Source organism: Homo sapiens, chromosome 11, assembly GCF_000001405.40.
Source record: "Homo sapiens chromosome 11, GRCh38.p14 Primary Assembly".
Classification (NCBI taxonomy): Eukaryota; Metazoa; Chordata; class Mammalia; order Primates; family Hominidae; genus Homo; species Homo sapiens.
The window spans coordinates 72024268-72037072 of NC_000011.10; the positions used below are offsets into that span (position 1 = coordinate 72024268).

Below are 12805 nucleotides of genomic sequence, written 5' to 3' on the forward strand. Positions count from 1 at the left end.
GCTTACTCTGCAGAAAACTGCACACAAAGTCCAGTCTCTCTGACACCGGCTGCTTCAAGATTTGCTGTCCCTCTTCAGTGCCATGGCTAGAAAAAGAGCAAGTATTAGGACCAGAGTATTCAGCAATCTTTGCCTCCTTGCTGCTGCATTTCATAGTACCTCCCCATTCCTTCCAGTCTTGATCTCTGCTGGATCTGGAAGAGATCCAGATCAGATCCTGGAGGCAGGTGACAGATACCAGGACACCATTTATCCAGATGGAACTGTGTGGTGGGTGGGAAGAGGGGACTTGAGGCATGGGGTTCTTCTGGAAAAGATGGCACTCTGCCACCCTATTTGCAAACATAAAAAAGCTCTGTGGAAAGGGGCCGAGAGGAGACGGAGGCAGCACAGATGAACGGGAAGCTATATTACACCATCTGGAATGGCTCAACTCTAAACTGTCAGGAAGCCTGGAGAACACACCTAGGTTAAGAGTGAGAGAAGACCATGGGGAGGGAAAAACATCCAAGAACTGAAAGAACAGGAGGAAACAAGGCTCTGAAGTGACAGGGTGAAGTTCCCCCACTAGGCTGAAGGCTGAGATGGCAAAAGCCTCCCAGAGGAGGATCCCAGGGACTAGAGTGTTGTTTGTTTGTTTGTTTGTTTGAGACAGAATCTCGCTCTGTTGCCCAGGCTGGAGTGCAGTGGCACGATCTCGGCTCACTATAACCTCTGACTCCTGGGTTCAAGCAATCCTCCTGCCTCAGCCTCCCAAGTAGCTGGGATTACAGGCATGGACCACCACGCCCGGCTAATTTTTGTATTTTTAGTAGAGATGGGGTTTCGCCATGTTGGCCAGGCTGGTCTCAAACTCCTGACCTCCACCCACCTCAGCCTCTCAAAGTGCTGGGATTACAGGCTGGAGCCACTGCGCCCAGCTAGGACTAGTATTCTTGATTAGTGGTTCTTGTCTGTACTTGCTTAACTGGAAGAGCGGGCAGTGTGAAGAGAGCCATGAGGAGAGGGAGACAGCAGGGGGAGCTCTCACACAGCCCAGGAGGCTGAGGCAGGAGAACTGCTTCAACCCAAGCGACAGAGATTACAGTGAGCTGAGATCATGCCACTGCACTCCAGCCTGGGCAACAGAGCGAGATTCTGTCTCCAAAAAAAAAAAAGAATACTAGTCCCTGGGATCCTGCTCTGGGAGGCTTTTGCCATCTCAGCCTTCAACCTAGTGGGGGAACTTCGCTGGATCCCCTAGCTAACTGCAGTTCCATTTTCAGAAGCAGCAGGTGAAATACCACTTCAAGTTAGAAAGCTGAATTCTCTAGGCTACAGTGGGAGATCCTGATTAGTGGGCCCCTTGCTTCTCAGAATCTACACTCCTAGTTCTTAGCCAACTTTCTGGAGGGCAGGGCAGGCCCAGAACCTTCCAATGCCAGAGACATCCTGCAAGCATAAGCATCATCCAAGCCAAGACTATGAGTGTACCTCCCCCCATACCCCATGTGATTACACAGGCTTCTTCCAAGTGAATCCCTCCCAGAAGCACTCTGTCTGGATAGTTGGTCTGAGATCAGAGACTCCTACAAAGTCTTGAGGAGATGCTAATCTCTTACAGACTCCCAAATGAGCCATTTTCCCTACCCACCCACAATCTGGAATGTTGTGACTCCTTGGCTCAGTGTAGAGCAATATTTACCTCAGAGTATTCCATTAACTAAAATAAAAAGAGGTTCTCAGGTGAAATGTTTAAAAAATGCTGGGTTAAACTGAACATTTTTTATAGAAGAAGATACAACATGCATTATTTCCTAAACCTATTTGACCACAAAACCCTTTTCCCCCACCCCCTACAAAGCCTGGTGTAAGTAAAGCTGCATGGAGCATACTTTGGACAACAGTAGTCCTAGAGAAATCCAGCCCATCCTTTAAGACTGTGTTGAAGTCTCATCTCTGTCAGGAAGCCATCCACAACTCCTGCCAGTCATGCCTCGGCTGTCCTCCAGGTCTTCCTGCAGCACTCATGAATGCAACTGCACCATTTACAACTGCCCACTCCAACTGCACTAGCTGAAAGCCAGGAATAAAGTAGGTGCTCAATACATATGGGCTGACTGACAACTGAGGGATGCTTTTTACTGAGAAGAGCAGAAATAAAAGTCAGCAAGACAAAAATGTCAGACCTCTAAGTTTTCTGGCAAAATGCCTCCACTATACTCTGTTATTCAAGCTTCACAGCTATCAAACAGACGGGACAGCCTTTTTTGCTTTAGACTATTCACGCACAGAAGAACCAAAAGGGAAACTTGTCAGAGGGGTTGATCCCAGTTAATTTTCCCAGAGAGAAGGCCAAGTGGCCAAGCAGTTAAACCCTCAACTCCCACAGCTTATTTTTTTTTTAATTTTTTAAAGAATTATTTTTCTCAGGGTGCCCCTTGTCCAGTGTGCAGACAGGAGCCACCCAACTCCCACAGCTTCTATCTACCCTCCAACCTTGCCATCCTCTGCTGCCTTCTGCTGAGAACTAGGCTGCTGATTTAGGTTGGCACCAGTAGCGGTATCAGAAATGTAAGAGCCAGAACATATTAACTAAGAACCTCCATTTCCCAAAAGGAAGCTGGTCTGCATTGTCCTGGATCTGAGATGGAGATTAGCATTAACCTGGGATTTCAATATCGCCTACCTCCAAGCCCCACTTCTACTGCAGCCTAGGTTCAGGCAACACCCTAGAAGACAACTTGCAAATGAGCATCTTGAATTTTTGGCCCTTCCTATGAAAATTTCCTAGCAGGTTATAAACCTACAGTGGCTAACCCAAGGACAACACACATCCTTACTCTTGGGCACATCTACTGCTCTTGTCACCAGGCCAAGGAAATTTCTCTCTTCAAAAGCAAAAGTTCCTTGATCTATTTTGAAGTCAAAAAAGCATGCTGCCCCATATTGTGTGTTACAATACAAGGCATATTATACCTGGCTGCTTCACTTTTAGTGAGGTTAAAATTAAACAGAGAGTTAGGTATTGCCAGACTAATGGTTTTACCACCCATTAATGTCAGGTGCCTGGATCTATCACTTCCTTAGGGTTTGCAAAATAATGATTTTCAACAGAAGTTGCAAAATGCTGACTTACAGGTGGTACACAACCCCAACTATGAAGTATCCTTGACAAAAAAAAAAAGTGAATCAAGCTTAGATCTAATTATCAGTATATAGGCAACAAGGGGAATAGTGGAACAAGTTAAGCCGTACCATAATAATGCAATTAACAAAATCCAGGATTTAAGGATTTCTATAAGATTAAAAAAAAATGAGGTGGTGTCGAGTGGGGAGAGAAAAAAGCAGGAAACAAAACTGGTGAGAGGAAATGACCCCCTGATGAAAGATCTTAAACACCAGGCTGAAGATTTTAGATTTCTACCTATTAGAAATGAATATTCACTGAGGTTTGATGAAGAGTCACTGAAGTGTCACAAAGAAAACAAGATTTGAGAAAGATTCTTGAGAACTCGTGCATAGGAATGAACTGCAATAAGGGCAGATTAGAGAAGAACTAGGCCATGAGGGCCTAGTATCCAGAATGAGGCAGAGGGAGGGACGCTGGATGTGAGCAGAGAGGATGATGACCAATTAGAGATCAGCGCCAAGGAGACAGAGAAGTCAAGATGATGTTGAAATGTCCTGCCTGGGTAACTGGGAGAGAAAATGGTACTGTCTGGACCAAAATAAGAATAGTGACTTCTTTCAGAGGTACTAAGGCAGGTCCTGGTTAGAGCCATATGGAATATTAAAAAATCCTGTAAGATAACCCACGATCAACACACACTTCAAATAAAAACCACTTTAGCAGCAGACCCATCTGTCCTGGGCCACTTGGCCCCGCTAGACCTTGCTGATAGAGAACACCAACTCATCTCTTCACTCAACAAACATTCACTAAAACCTAAACAATGTAGCATCCTAAGCTAGGTAGGGAGGACCCCAAGATGAATCAGACACAGTTCTAGCCTTTGATAAGCTTAATTCTACCTTCTTTCCCTATCAATGAGCTGTTACCTATGAACAGGTAGCTAAAGTGCTTGCTTCAGAGATATGAGTCCCTGATACCAGTTCCTAACTGCCACGTATGGCACATAAACACCTTCAACACTTCAGTCTATCCTTGGCCTGGGGCAAACAATCTAATGTGCTTTTTCTTAAAAAAAAAAAAAAAAAAAAAAAAAAAAGATGACAACTGACCTATGCTTGGTCCCAGAAAGGTAGGATACTGGGAGGAAGCCCCACTTTATTCATTTCCGAGATAACTGTGACGTTCAAAGGAAATGTGCTAAAGACACAGACCAAAAGGCCAAACTACAATCCTTGCTGCATGGTAACAACAAGCTTATTAAATGCTCATGGACCTCAGAAATCAAGTTAATTGAAGCAGTAAAAACCCCAGAAGTGTACTTATTTTATAATGGCTTAGAAAGAGGCATATCTGTACTGTGCTAACAAGTTAGAGATGAGATTTCTAGGTGTTTCTTCTTTCCTTCAGATGTGAGAGCTTCCCCTTTCTTCCCTCAGAAGGCTGCAAAGAGGGCTTGTGGCATAGGGTAGGGATGAGTCAAGAAAGGAGGGTTGTAGAAGCCTTCTGGTGAGACAAGAGATGGGGAACCCAAGAGTGAGCACTTGGAAGAATGTGAGGGCGTGGAGCCTTGGAGGTTCTCCTGTGCAAGAATGCAGAAGCCTCAGGATGGGACAAGCGTAAAACCTCTCCCATGGAGTGGTACAGCAACTGGAAGATGAGGTCAATGTATTCTTGCCTTTAGGCCCCACCCTGGCTTATGATGTCCCAATCCTTCCCCTGATTTCTGGTCATAGCCATCATCAAGTAAAGAGAACAAGTACAGCCCCCACCCCAGCAATCAGCTTTGCCTTAGAGGCTAGAAAGGGGTATGGTGCGTACTCACATTCTGTCAATGATCTTGATGAAGATGCTGCAGTCCTGGAGCTGCAGCACAGCCTCCACAGGGTCAGCCACGTGTAGACTGTTCACCTGTAAATCAAAGGGAACAGCCTAGTGAGACCGTTAGAAGCAACATGGTTTGCTCCTTTTCCCAGAGGCTTAATGTGAGTGCTTACAGTTGTAGACTATAGGAATACAAGAACTGATGATTCTCAGGTTTTTAATTTCAGGAAGGAGTGCCGTTGCACTCACTCATCCAGTTACAGCCACCTGAAATGCAACCATCAGAGAGCCCTTCCTTTGGCTTCAACTAAATAAAAGCTTAAACTTTCCTAAGATGTTCCAGCACTGGGAGTATTTTGGAAGGATACACCAATAAATTGGTACTACCACTGCTTCTAAAGAGAGGAACTTGACAGCAGGGAGTCTGAGGTGGGAAAAGAAAGGCTCTTACATTATAACTCTCTGTAGCTCTTGAATGTATTATAGCTCTTTGTATTTCTTGAACGTTTACATTATAAGTTTCTGTATCCCTTGGATTTTTATATTATAGTCCTTTGTGGCTCTTGAGTTTTGAAATATCTATTCAAAACTTAAATATTACATATATGCTATACACTCCCACAAACATATAAAATCTTATTAATACATTTTATATTATAGCCCTTTGTGGCTCTTGAGTTTTGAAATATCTATTCAAAACTTAAATATTACATATATGCTATACACTCCCACAAAGATATAAAATCTTATTAATACATTTTTATTCTTTCCACACATAAAGCTTTGGCTGAGGGGAGAAGGGAAAAACAATAGGGGAACAAGATGATTTTTTAAAAAGGGGGTGGAGGGAGCCAAGCGCGGTGGCTCACACCTGTAATCCTAGCACTTTGGGAGGCTGAGGCGGGAAGATCACTTGAGCTCAGGAGTTCAAGACCAACCTGGGCAACATGGTGAAACCCTGTCCTACAAAAAATACAAAAAATTAGCCAGGAGTGGTGGCACATACCTGTAGTCCCAGCTACTTAGAAGGCTGAGGTGGGAGGATCACCTTAGCCCAGGGAGGTCGAGGCTGCAGTGAGCTGGGATTGCATCACTGTACTCTAGCCTGAGTGACAGAGCAAGACCCTGTCTCCAAAGGAAAAAAAAAAAGAAAAGAAAAGAAAAAAAAAGGGGGCGGTGGGGGATGAAAGAATAGGAGCTGGGAATTTCAAAGAAAAACTTCTTAATTCTAATTTAGTTGCCTGTTCCCATTCTTTGGCTTCAGATAGGCATACATTTAAATCAGTTTTTACCACTAGAATATTCACCAGGGGTCACACACATCAGGTACACAGGTTATTCAATAAGTATACATGGTCAACCTCTACAGGAAAACCTCATGAATTCCACAGGCACTACAGTTCAGAAGTAGCCTGGGCTGAAGTTTACGTTTTTATTACTATAGGAAGAAAGGGTTTGCTAAGTTAATTATTCACATATTCAACACTAAGAGGGGAGAGAGACTGAGCCTGCTTTAAGAAACAAGGTATTTTAAAGAACTTCAGCATAGTGGTTATGTGCAGACAACTAGATTCTATTGCTTACAAATGTGTTCTCTATATTTGGGCTGGGAGCCAGTACATACACACTTTGGGCCCAGCTCCTCCACAAACTTGCCAGCAACCTTTGTTACAAACTTTATTTCTCTCTGCACTAGTTTCCTCCCTTGCCAAATGGATGGAATCCCTACTTTATCTACTTCAAAGGACCAGTGTGAGCTCAAATGGGATTATGGATGCAAGAACACATTAAAAAATATAAAGTAGGCCAGGTGCAGTGGCTCACACCTGTAATCCCAGCACTTTGGGAGGCTGAGGTAGGGGGACTGCTTGAGGCTGGGAGTTTAGGACCACCCTGGGCAACATAACAATACCTTGTCTCTACTAAATAAATAAATAAGCAAGCAAGCAAGCTGGACATGGTGACATGTGCCTGTAAGTCCTACCTACATAAGAGGCTGAGGTAGGTGGATCATTTGAGCCCAGGAGCTGGAGAAGTTACAATGAGCTATGATAGTGTCCCTGCACTGTGGCCTGGGCAACAGAGACATCTCAAAAAAAAAAAGAAAAAAGAAAAACTAATAAACATAAAGCACTATTATGGTTAATAAAATTAAAATAATGAAGTAGACATAACATTTGTATTTCTTAATAGTTAAGTTAGCTGCATGCACTATAGAATTAAGAGGATTTTTAAAAATCAATGATTTCTCTACAGACATGATAGTATTTATTTGAGTTAAACACTTTCACATTTAAAAACAACTTTTAGGCCAGGCGCAGTGGCCCATGCCTGTAATCCCAGCACTTGGGGAGGCTGAGGTGGAAGGACTGCTTGAGGCCAGGAGTTCAAGACCAGCCTGGGCAACATAAGGAGACCCTGGCTCTACAAAATAATAATTTAAAAAAATTTTTAGCTGGGTGAGGTGGCTTGCGCCTGTATGCTCGCGTAGTCCCTGCTACTCGGGAGGCTGACGTGGGAAGATCGCTTGAGCCTGGGAGGTCAAGGCTACAGCGAGCTATGATCACACCACTGCACTCTAGCCTGGCCAACGGATTGAGACCCTGTCTCAAAAAAATAAATAAATAAATAAATACAACATTTAGGCTAGGTGTGGTGGCTCATGCCTGTAATCCCAGTGCTTTGGGAGGACGAGGAGGGAGAATCGCTTGAGGCCAGGAGTTTGAGATCAGCCTAGGCAACATAGCAAGACCCTTTCCCCAAAAAATTAAAAAAAAAAAAAAAAAGAGAGAGAAAGGAAAAATAGCCCAGCATGGTGGTGCATGCCTGTGGTCCTAGCTACTCAGGAGGCTAAGGTGGGAGGCAGAGGATTGCTTGAGTGCAGGAGTTCCAGGCTGCTGTGAGCTATGAAGCTGCAACTGCATTCCAGCCTGGGTCACAGAGCAAGACCCTATCTCAAAAAGCGGAATCTTTTAGATGAATCCCAGTTAAAACAGATTAAAATTTTTTTTAACGTGAAATAAAATATGACTTATTGACGTCTTAAAGAGTTTGCTAATATATTTATAATATATTTTTACTGTCTTTTGAAAAAAGCTCAATCTAATTGGTCAGGACAGGTCATTGTAAGTTTTCTAGGAAGATTCTGAAAACTTCAGGCCAAGATTCCATTTTACCTGCAGAAAATGAAGAGACTGCCAAGGCTAAACCATCTCCTATCAATACCTGCAATCTAGGTAAAACATTCAAGGACTATGGATGCTTGTTCACTAACAAGACTAAAAAATCATACCAATTAGCTGATGTAAAGTCTCCTAAGGAATCTGGATTCATCACATATACCAATTAAGTAATAATCCAGCCACAGTTCCTTTCATGGATATAAAAATATTTTTTCTTCCTGTGAGTTATTTTTGCTCTCAAGTGAGAAATCATTTAAAAGTTGAGGAAGTAGAGAAGTTCCTTCATCTCTAGTCAGGGCATAAAACATGAGAGTGAGGACCAGGCTCACCACATAACTCAAGAGTTGCCTTTAAGGATTGCAAGGTTGCTTAAGGTTGTCAAATCTTAAAATACCCTGTAACAGTTTATTCATTATTAACTGCTGTTTACAGAATAGTTTCAAGCTATAATTTAAGTATTAATAAAATAAACCACTAATTTATTTTTATGTTATAAATTACTGAAAATTCAGAAGACAAAAAACAGAGCTCCCAATAATTCTAGTATTTTAATACAGGTACTTTTAGCATTTTGATGTATTTCTTTCGTTTTTTCTAGGTAATTTTTTTTAAACTGTAGTTGGAATTATCATGTGTGTGTATGTGTATGTTCTATGCCACTCTTCTCACTAACATAACAGATGCATTATTTCATGCTACTACAGTTTCATAAAATTTGCTTTAGCTCCACAACTTTTGTTTAAATTGAAAACATTCTCTATACTATATTTATATATATTTTTAAGAGACAGGCTCTTGCTATGTTATAGGTTGGAGTGCAGCAGCTATTTACAGATGCAATCATGGCTAACTGCAACCTCAAACTCCCGGGCTCAAGCAATTCTCCCATCTCAGCTTCCCAAGTAGCAGGGACTACAGGTGTGCACTACTGATCCCAGCACATATAACTATACTTTAACATTTTCATGCATGTTCTTTGTTTTTTTTTTTTTTTTTTTTTTTTTGACACAGGCTTTCACTCTATTGTCCAGGCCGGAGTGTAGTGGCACGATCACAGCTCACTGCAGCTTCAACCTCCACAGCCTCAGGTGATCCTCCCACCTCAGCCTCCTAAGTAGCTGGAACCACAGGAGCACACCACCACACCCAGCTAATTTTTGTATTTTTTGAAGAGACAGGGTCTCACCACGTTGCCCAGGGTGGTTGCAAACTTCTGAGCTCAAGTGATCCTCCACCTCAGCCTCCCAAAGTGCTGGCATTACAGGTGTGAGCCACTGCACCTGGCCTCATGCATATTTATTGTGACTTTTCAGAAAAGGATGTAAGTAGCTGCTATAAATAAAACTAGTCTTAGGCCAGGCGCAGTGGCTCATGCCTACAATCCTAACACTTTGGGAGGTCAAGGCGGGTGGATCACTGGAGCTCAGGAATTCAAGACCAGCCTGGGAAACATGGCAAAACCCAGTCTCTACCAAAAATATAAAACATTGTATTTTTTTTGAGGTCACATTAAAATTGAGGTCAGAAGTTTGAGACCAGCCTGGGCAACTTAGCAAGACCCCATCTCTACAAAAAGTTTTTTAAAATTAGCATGGCATGTACCCCTGTGGTCCTAGCTACTTGGGGGGCTGAGGTAGAAGGATGGCTTGAGCCCCAAAGTTTGAGGTTACAATGAACTATGATTACATCACTGTACTCCAGTCTAGGCAACAGAATGAGACTCTATGTCTATTTTTTAAAAAAAGAAAAATGGTTGGCTCTCCAATTGGCCCTGATTAATCAGTACTCAGGGTGAATACTAAAATATCCTGTGTCAACTAGCATGCCCAGGAAGTATTTTAAATGTCAAGAACTATGATTTATTGAGATAACATGCTAAATGACTGCATGTATGTGGGTACTTGTGCACACTATATGTATCTCATTATCCTTGTAATTACCCCATGAGATATTTTATTTTATTTTTTCATGGTGCCAAGAGAAATTAGAACTTTATGAGGTATTTTAATTTAAAATCATCCCCATTAAAAAAAATGATACTGGCCAGGCGTGGTGGCTCACACCTGTAATCCCAGCACTTTGGGAGGTCAAGGAGGGCGGACCACGAGGTCAGGAGATCGAGACCATCCTGGCCAACATGGTGAAACCCGTCTCTACTAAAAATACAAAAAAATTAGCTGGGCATGGTGGCGTGCACCTGTAATCCCAGCTACTCGGGAGGCTGAAGCAGGAGAATTGCTTGAACCCAGGAGGCAGAGGTTGCAGTGAGCCGAGATCACGCCACTGCACTCCAGCCTGGCGACAGAGCAAGACTCCATCTCAAAAAAAAAAAGATACTGAAGATACTGAGAGGCCAACTTGCCCTGGGTCAGAGAGACCAGTGCTGTGATTCTATGCTGGGCATGTGACTCTGAGACCCATATTTATCACCACACTCCATGGTCTCCTCTGTTTCTTTAGCTTTATTTATTATTTTTATATATATTTTTGAAACATGGTCTCACTCTGTCGCCCACGCTGGAATGCAGTGGTGCAATCATGGCTCACTGCAGCCTCAACCTTCAGGGCTCAAGGGATCCTCCCACCTTAGCCTGCCAAGTAGGTGAGACTACAGGTGCACGACACCATGCCCAGCTGATTTTTTAATTTTTTGTAGAGACAGGTTTTTGCCATGTTGCCCAGGCTGGTCTTGAACTCTTGGGCTCAAGCAATCCTCCTGCCTCAGCCTCCCAAAGTGCTGGGATTACAGGTGTGAGCCACCACATCCAGCCTCTCTAGCTTTAAATATCCAATGCACTCTATTATTTTTTCATTTGCCACTGTCTCTGGTAGAAAATGTATGAATGATCTAGCAAAAGAATTTTGATGAAGTAATCGGCAAGGCAACATTTGCTGATGGACAATGGCAACAGACAGAAAGGTGGTAAGAGAGTGATGAGAACCTTGTCCTAGATTAAAGGCCTTTGAAGACCAAAGTCCCTGCATATGTTGATCATTAAGGTCAGCATTTACCACCCCCCCTTTTTTTTTTTTAATTTTTTAGACCGAGTCTTGCTCTGTTGCCCAGGCTGGAGTGCAATGGTGTGATCTCGGCTCACAGCAACCTCCGCCTCCCGGGTTCAAGTGATTCTCCGGCCTCAGCCTCCCGAGTGACTGGGATTACAGGTGCCCGCCACCACAGCCAGCTAATTTTTGTATTTTTAGTAGAGACGGGGGGGTTTCACCAGCTTGGCCAGGCTGGTCTCGAACTCCTGACCTCAGGTGATCCACCTGCCTCGGCCTCCCAAAGTGCTGGGATTACAGGCATAAGCTCCGCACCCGGCCCACATTTACCCTTTTATTCAGAAAAATACACACAGAGCAGATGAAAATGCATTTCCATGCTGTCTAAAGGAAAACTATTTAGTCTAGAAATGAGAAGACTTTACATAGCCCTGGCTCCTACAAAACTCCTCTCCTAACTCTCTCAAGCTTCCTGGAGAAGTATAGCCAACAAAAGAGAGGAAGACTACTTACCCAAGAGAGGAGTGCAGCCCCCCGGGTGGCGTGGAGTGTCATCTTGGTGATGCCAGACAGTCACTCCAATGCGCCTGGAACCCAAGAGAGGAAGAAAAGCAGTTAATCATATCAGATATCCATGATCAAGAAATAAAGGCGAAATGGTTCAATTTGCCAATTCTCAACACTTAAATCACTCTTCACTGAATCCACCAAGACACCATGGGAATTTTTAGAAAGCTGAGTACACATGACAATTACTATAGAGCTTACATCAGAGACGACAGGAAAGAATTGTGCATTTAACTCAATGTCTACCCCATGTAATTTTTCAGTTCCACAGAAAATACAACATCCAAAGCTGGCCTTCAACCCTACTCTTTGGGACATGATGCCCTTAAATATGGAACAAACATGGTTTTCAGACAGACCTGGGTCTGGATGCTGATTTAATGTGACCAGGGTCATAGGACCTTAGACAAGCAACATAACCTCTTTCAGTCTTTTTCTTTATCTGCAAAATGGGATCCACATACACCTCTCTGGGTTATTGTGATGCTTAAAGATAAAGCAAATAGTACGGTGCCTGGCACATGGTAGGTTGTCAATAAATAATTACTGTTCTTAAGCAGAAATGTTGATTTCTAGCTCTTTCTACAGGTACCCAAATTGTACCTAACAATACCTAAGTCCTTGGGGAAACTGTTCTAGTTTCTGGATTTTTATATCCTCCACAGAAATGTCTCACAAACACAGTTCAAATGGGGGATTGAGAATATCCAAACTTAGGTCTCTGGATGAGGTCGAGCCCAATTCCGGAGGAGATCCCATGGGACATTTAATGAAAATTAGGCACCTGTCCTGGTGTTCTCATCCCCAATTTCCTTTCCCATTGAGATTCTGCCACCTGCCTGCCAACCCACCCAAGAGACCACAGACCAGATTAACTAAATATTCACCAACACCTCCTAGCAACCCTTGCAATTTTCACTAATCTCCAGGGGCACAATGAGCCCTGCCCCCATCTCCTGCCACACGTGCTCAGTCTGTAATTACTCTAGAAGGAGGAACAAGAGTGGTAAGAGCCACATCACTTGTAAGTCTCCCCATATATTAGCATCTCCAGAGTGTGGGCTCTGTGGAACCAGTCTCATGTATGCAAGTTGGGGATAAAGAAAGACACCATTCT

The 12805-nt window shown here is 43.2% G+C and overlaps 1 protein-coding gene across 52 annotated transcripts in view, besides 1 other annotated feature; it reads right to left on the minus strand.

Annotated features, from left to right (window-relative positions):
• NUMA1 (nuclear mitotic apparatus protein 1) overlaps positions 1–12805 on the minus strand; it is a 77679-nt gene that overhangs the window by 21404 nt on the left and 43470 nt on the right. For all 52 annotated transcript variants that reach the window (NR_104476.2, XM_047427023.1, XM_047427003.1 and 49 more), the window contains 3 exons: positions 11635–11708; positions 4938–5023; positions 7–86 (listed from right to left, as the gene is read on the minus strand). Coding sequence is in view for 51 of the 52 variants with exons in the window: in XM_047427023.1 (XP_047282979.1) it covers positions 7–86; positions 4938–5023; positions 11635–11676 (208 nt within the window). In the remaining variant the exon portion in view is untranslated. The remainder of the gene's footprint in view (positions 1–6; positions 87–4937; positions 5024–11634; positions 11709–12805) is intronic.
• Positions 856–1150: an enhancer, noted in NCBI's record as "tiled region #3523; HepG2 Activating DNase matched - State 12:CtcfO". NCBI's record gives its function as "activates a minimal TATA promoter and a strong SV40 promoter by Sharpr-MPRA in HepG2 cells {active_cell/tissue: HepG2}" and the evidence as "EXISTENCE:reporter gene assay evidence [ECO:0000049][PMID:27701403]".